The sequence below is a fragment of the Homo sapiens genome, chromosome 7, assembly GCF_000001405.40.
Source record: "Homo sapiens chromosome 7, GRCh38.p14 Primary Assembly".
Taxonomy (NCBI): Eukaryota; Metazoa; Chordata; class Mammalia; order Primates; family Hominidae; genus Homo; species Homo sapiens.
In genome coordinates, this window is record NC_000007.14 from 113,081,026 (window position 1) to 113,088,046 (window position 7,021).

The window sequence follows — 7,021 nt, forward strand, 5'->3', positions numbered from 1 at the left end:
GATTACTACTGTTACCAGTTGAGTTACAAATGGCATTGATTCACTGAGGATGTGTCTTGTCAACTGCTTCCTGCTTGACCTGCAAATGCCAAGTTAGTCAGGAGTAGGCTTAAATAAAAGTCACTGCAGTTCAGCCTGACTTACTGATTACTGGGGCTGGTTTCTTACCAAAACTGTGGGAATCGGTTATTCCAAATAGCTAGGTGGAGTCAGGCAGCTTCACGTGGCCGTTGCTCTTGACTCCTCAGTCCCCAACTCTTAACCCATATCTGTTTTCTTGTCTATGCAATGGTGAACCTGTTCTCTCTGGCCTTAAGATTATTGCTGAATTTTTTACTGATTGCTGGTGATATTTGAACCTCTAAGCAGAGTTAGTTATTATCATCATTGCAATTACGTTTCTACTATAAATTTTTTTGAGTTACAATCACAATGTTATCAGAACATCTTTTGATAACATTTCCTTTATTTTAGATAATGATTTCAGTACCAAGGAGACTTTATTGCTAGATCCAACTCACTGTTGTGCATTAAATTTTGTCTCAGATCTAATCAACTTTGGTGTAAAGTAAAAATGAGGTCAGAATGCTCACTAATTCATGGCTTGAGCTGTCCTTATAAGAGCAAAACTGAATAGTTGCATATATCATTGAAACATTTCATTGATTTATTTTCCTTATTTATATTGATATTCTCTTTACAGAAGTACTATAGCAATATGGAATTCTGTGTTATTAGATTCCTAATCTTAATTATCAAATACCAAAAAAAAATAAACTTCACAAAAACCAACCAATAAACAAAACAACAGAAAGCAAACAAAAATAATAACTTTTTCTAGTTTTGTCATAATGTTAGTGTAAACCATTCTTCTTACAAGTTGTATATTTAGAACCCCAAATTTCTATGGTACTATGCTCCAAATTAAAGTGTGATGTTTATATTAAAATTCTGAGCCAATTAACTAAGCAGGTACACATCTCTAAATACTACTGGCATTTAAGAATAATAGAGGGATGATTATAATAAACTACCAAATAATGCTTTTACAGATAATATTATGTCAGTTTATCAGCATTATGTTGATTATCATTCATACATTTCCAGTCTGGAATGTAGTAGCTACAAGAATCAAAAAGCAAAACCATAATAAAGCTAGTCTTCCTAGTTTGTGCTTGCCTCCCAAATTAAAAAAAAAGTTGTTATGTGCCAAAAATGTAAAACTTATTTCAAGAAAATTAACAGGCTACACGGGTAAATTTTGGCAAATGCAACTTTATATTGAAGTTCACACATCTGTATCTTAAAGAATGAGACTCACAGACTCTAATGTATTTCTAAAATACCAGAAATCATAATATAAGCTTTCACAAGTTAAAACTGAAATAATTTAAATTACCAATACACTGAATGTGCAGAAAGTATAAACAAGACTGTGCCTTCAGTAGAATAAATGCTTCACAAATTGTGCAGGATGTCATACTAAGGCTGTGGTCTCCCCTTGACAGCTGACTTAAAATATAAACATACATCAACTGCCTGCTTCTTAGAACAGTTTAGAAAGGGTAGCACACCGTAGAAGAAAATCTCATTATTTCAGTGATGTGCACTTTAAGTTTCAAACCATGTGAGAAAAAAGGAAAAAGTAATAAATGATCTTCCATGCACTTTTAGATGCATGACCATGACCAGTTACTGATTTGATTTCCCTTGGCTATTTGCTCCAGTGCTAAATAAGATGAAGGATACTAGATAACCCTTTAAGGCAACATGTATTTATTCTGCATTATTAGAACTGCTCAGTTGTGACAGGCTGGTACCATTAATGTTGCCTCCCAGACCAATATCTAGCATTTGTAAAATATAAATGAATTGGAAAAACTTTATACCAAATCAACAAAAACCACATAATACAGTTCAATGCTAGCAATCTTACTAGTAGATGAGGAAAGTGGTATTTAGAAATAGCAATGTATTAATACAAAAAAAGTAAACTCTAATTGGAACCAATATACTGCTTTGGAATGCTCCCCAGAACTTACAAGGCGGTTTTTAAAGTGTGATATTCCAATAATTCATTGGCACGTCTTTAGTGGATTACAGTACTTTAAGTCCCCAAATATTTTAGTCTTTGCAAAACAATAGTAGTATGAAATGTTTTAAAGTCTTCAAACTTCTAAAATTAGTTTTTATCAACACATTTACCTCATGTCAACTTAATTTATTAAGATGTCCAATGCTAATTGTTTTTTGATGTTTTTTCATATGTAGTGACATACAGAGCATTTAGCACTGATACTTAGCACCTGCTACTTTCATTATCTAGTTTTTGACCACATAAAGAAACTTAGGGCAGTGGTTCAGTCCCTTCTTAATTACAAACCTTTGCTGGCAGTCAGCAGGATCACTCTGAGATTTAAAATAGGATTATAGGTGAACTATTGCAAAGACTGCAGAATGTTGCCCAAATCCTTAAAACTGCTGATTCCATTCTTGAATTTCTTCTCAAAATATGGCTATGGGCCACAATTGCTCAGCAGAGAAGGTTAGTTTTCACAAGGCTAAAGATTTACAGATGCTCCCTCATATAACACAGTAAGGTTCCCTTGGTAACCTGGATTTTCTGCAGTAAAGAAGGGTTGTGCTGAAACAGCGCCTCAGCTCCCTGTTTGAGAAAATGCAGACAAAAGGATTGATTCCTGCTTGGGCAAAACTCATCCAGACAGCAGCTGTTAGAAATCCCCCTGGTACTACAGGCCCTCTTGCAAAAACTCTCCAATAACAGGCCACCAGGTAGGGGCCCCACAAGGTTAGAAACAGAAAAGTCATTATATAGAACATTCTGCTGATTCTTTTCTCCATTTTGAACTCGTCTAAGACCAATAGCCTTCTTCTGCCTGTGGTGTTTGCATTTTGCCTGATGCCCAGCAAGGTGGGTGGTGTGGGACCCCTTCCAAATCCTGCTAGCCAATTGGCAGCTGCCTGGCCACTGGCTCCAGGACCATGAAAAGTCCAGTTCTGGCTGACTGCTGCTACAAACTGGACTGGCTTCATTTTTCTTCGATCGTGGACGAAAAATATCAGCTTGAGGTAGACAAGCTGTGTGGCTAGGAGGATGAGAGCAAGAAGCAGCATAAATCCTAAGGAATCATTAGCCCTGAAGGAGCGGTGTTGGAAGGTGCATTGATCTTCCTCCCTAATGAATGAGTAAGTGCCCACGTCTAAAACCGGGGGAAATGCCATGGCCACAGACAGAGTCCACACCATACAGATCACAGCCAGACACGTCCAAAAGGTCAGCCTCTTTGTATAGAAGCGGTGATGGGCGATAGCTAAATATCTGGTGACACTGATGCAGAAGAGCATGAAAGCAGTGTGGAAACAGGACAAAACCCCCAGAAAGGCAATCACTTTGCAAGTCAGAGTCCCATAAGTCCAGGTAGAACCATTTTTGACAGAGTTGAACACAAATGGGAAACAAATTGCAGATCTGAGGATATCTGAACAGCAAAGATCCAACAGGAAGTAGTAAGGTGCTCTATGCAAGGTCTTATCTTTCACTAGCAAAATGGAGATCAGGAGGTTGCCCACCACGCTGACTCCTATTATGAAACCCAAGGAAGTCAGTTTCAGAAAGGCTGTTAGAGGCGAGAGATTTTGCAAAATGTTGTCAGCTGCATGGCTATAGTTCGCCATAGATGGATGGAGGATAAGGATACAGCCTCAGTCAAGTCTCATGATCTAGATATAAGAACAAGGAAAAGATAGATCCATACATTTTACTGAAAATATAATCCACAAAGAGAACTGATCTGATCTGCAGTCATGCTTCCTCTTTTCTTCCACTTGTTTTGCCATCAGAATATCTGAAAAAAAAAAAAAAAAAAACCTATCAGTTCTTAAGTTAACAAGCAATGATGTCAGACAGTGCTAACAAAGCTGTTCACTTATGGGGAAGCAAATAAAGTTTTAATTTTGAATACTAATATTTGCTTTACTAAATATTTTTGCTCGAGATTTCAGAGAATTGGCTTGTTTAGTTTTTCAAGCTAAGTGAATTTTAAAATGTCCCTATTTTGGACAATATACATTTGATAGGGTAACTTTAGGAGAGAAGGAATAAAATGTCCCATTCTTGTAAAATATGCCAGTCCAGGAATTAACCACTAGAATTGCAATGGAATCTACAAGATTGCTATTAGGAGGCAGAGACACTACCTACATTTATTTGAGATCTATTAGTATCTGTCAGTGTTTCACAGGCAGCTTCTCTGTTTGATGTGGGTCCAAAGAACCCGTGCAAAATATATCTTAAGTGCCACTATTCATGCTGCATAAGAGTATTTGTTGATTCATCTTAAAGCAAAATTTCAAAATTAACTTCAAAATTAATAGGAACTTACTTGTCCCAAGATTTGATGTGATTTAATCATTTGTCTTTCCCTCTCCACCCTACCCCCCATTTCTGGCAAATCTTTTAAGCCCACATGATTATTAAAATGGTTAATGTAAATATTGGACAGGGAAACACACCCAGAGGAATAATGCACTTCCATTTGTAAACCTTGGCTGCCTGGATTCAAATGAATATAACATGAACCTGTATTTCTTGGGCAATTAAGCCTTTCCCATTTACACTGATAACCTTTGTTGCAAATCACAAGTGGCTGCTTTTTAAAACAAAATGCACATTGTCTCGCAGGTGCCTGGACCACACCAGGGAAATCGGCTTCCTCTGTTATTCCCACCAAGCGTGTTTCTTTTGCCACTTCTCACTGGCCCGGAATATGCTGGTGGAAGCCCAGGCAAAACTGCGTTCGATGATTTTAATTTCCCCACCGGTACATCCTCGGGTAAATACCGATCGCATCATGCAACATTACGAAACCTGAAATCCGCCACCCCTGGATTTATAATGGGGGGAGGGTGGAGGAGGGGGAGAGGGAGAGAGACATGCATTACATACGCGAAGATGGGGAGAGAGATTGCTTCTGTGCTGCAAAGGAACCGTTCCCGGTGATTCGCAGTCTGATATTCCTCAGTCTTGTAAGGCTTTCCAGAAATGGAGCTCTCAGTAAGCCCTACTGAAGATGCATTGTCTGAATGTACTTCCATTATGCAGTTTATTGTCACAAAACACATACACACACACACACACACACACACACAGAGACACACACACACACACACACACACACAACCTGAGGGAGGGCTCTTTCTCGGTGAACCTGCAGTTTCATCAACACTGTGCATTCCCCCACATCCCCCAAACTTAACCAAGAGTATATCCTCCTACCTGTTGGTGTTGGATATCCCGACAGACTATAGCTTCTTTCTATAAATTGCTGATTTTTTTCTTTTTTTCTTTTTCTTTTTTTTTTTTTTTTTTTTGTTTTTTGTTTTTTTTTTTTTTTTTTTTGCCTTAGTGCCTTGACTGAGCATCCAGGCAGGGCTCGGCGGCGCCTGCGCGCTGGAGCCTCCTTGAGCTCCAGCCGCGTCCTCCCCTGTCGCAGCGGCACCGTCTCCCCCAGTAACGCAGGGGCCGCGGCGGCGGCGGCTGCGGTGGCGAGGGCGGCGGCGGGGCTGCTTCAGCCTCTGTGGAACCAGCAGGAACCCCTACCTGACTCCAGAGCTGGCTGGGTTTATTGACTGCCCTGTCCAATCCAACTGGCAGCATTAAGCTTTTGTCCCTTCGTGGCTGCTTCTGAACTTTTCCCTCCCCGCATTTGTAGTGGGGGGCTGGAAAGGCCCTTTCAGGACCTCAGGCCCATCCTCTTCCCAAAGGCAGCGCACGAGGAAGTCACAGTGCCCGTGACGCCCGCCCCCTCCCTCAGCTTCCCGGAACCCTAACCTTCCCCAGACACTTTCTTCCCTTTTCTTTTAGGGTGGTCCAAACCACCGGAGGCTTCTTTTATATATTTATTTTTAAGTGATGTCTCCAGCTAACCTTTAAATTTGCAGGTTAGCTGGAAAAAGACAAGAAAAGAATGGGAAAAAAGAAAAAAAGTTATTTATTTATTTATTTATCTTTTTCCCACAGTTAAAAATCTTTTCAATGGGGAAGAAGGGAAGGCACGTTAGGGCAGCTCTCTCTTTGTTAGTCATCTTCTATTCTCCAATGCACGCAAATATGCGTAAAAGTAGGGAGAAAGCTAAGTTCAGAGGACAACTACAATATGATTTACATTCAGTCTACCTTAAAGGATGTCACTAAAGAATCAGGCTTATAAAATGTTTAAATGGCTATTCCTGGCATTCCACCCCACCAAGCAACAGTATTCCTTTTCCCTTCTTACAAGTTCCGCTGACCAATGATGGGTGATGTCAAAGCAGTTATGTGTACGAGTTTCCTTTTTTCCCCTTTGTTATTACAGATGAAAAATACTAGAAATATAACAAATACGTAAAACTTACACCAGTCCAAACGGTCGGATGATACCACAGACACCACAAAGCCTGACACGTGGGTGCTTAGGAATGCCTCTAGAATCATGCATTTTCTTATTTTACCATTTCCGAAGAGTTTTGTTTGTGGAGGTGATATAAAATTTTAAGCAACAACTTCCCAGTTCTCCTACCCAAAACTAGCAGACACGCTTTCATTAATTCCCAATGTAAAACGTCTGCTTCTTTTTCTGCATGCTTTTTGCTTTATAATAATCTGTTAATGAAACAAAAAATAAAAATCTTCTCTACAGTAATAATCTGATCTTGAGACAGCAGTAAAATACCTCATTGCTGGGTGGTGAGATTGTGACATTCAGGGGAACTCAGGCCAATCAGCATACAGATAATATGGGTTAATTTACATACTGTATTTCTATTGGATGAGCCGAGGTAAAGCCTTATCTTGATGTCACAGTCGTTACACAAAGCCCTATGTTGGTAATACTGAAATGATGTTAAATTTCCCTGATTTGTTCTTGAATTTCCTACGTCCATTTAAATACATGGATAATAGTTTGTTTTTTTCGAAAAGAATATACACAAGGCACTAAACTTTGGCATTCCCTTAACCTAG

At 39.3% G+C, this 7,021-nt stretch overlaps 1 protein-coding gene across 6 annotated transcripts, besides 1 other annotated feature; it reads right to left on the reverse strand.

Moving 5' to 3' along the window:
* Nucleotides 1-1,259: 1,259 nt before the first annotated feature.
* On the reverse strand, nt 1,260-6,699 carry GPR85 (G protein-coupled receptor 85). Of its 6 annotated transcripts, none has more exons than NM_018970.7 (3): nt 6,415-6,699; nt 4,967-5,081; nt 1,260-3,866 (listed from the first exon to the last, which is right to left on the reverse strand). In NM_018970.7, exon 3 carries the CDS (start codon nt 3,694-3,696, stop codon nt 2,584-2,586), a length of 1,113 nt encoding a protein of 370 aa, NP_061843.3. In that variant the 5' UTR covers nt 3,697-3,866; nt 4,967-5,081; nt 6,415-6,699; the 3' UTR covers nt 1,260-2,583. The 6 variants fall into 6 exon arrangements, with proteins under 6 accessions (NP_061843.3, NP_001139737.1, XP_016867841.1 ...); NM_001146265.2 differs by having other exon boundaries at nt 4,967-5,084; XM_017012352.3 differs by lacking the exon at nt 6,415-6,699 and adding an exon at nt 5,297-5,802.
* Nucleotides 5,488-5,547: a silencer, noted in NCBI's record as "silent region_18546". NCBI's record gives its function as "represses an Ori minimal core promoter by ATAC-STARR-seq in GM12878 lymphoblastoid cells {active_cell/tissue: GM12878}" and the evidence as "EXISTENCE:reporter gene assay evidence [ECO:0000049][PMID:35858748]".
* Nucleotides 6,700-7,021: the final 322 nt, after the last annotated feature.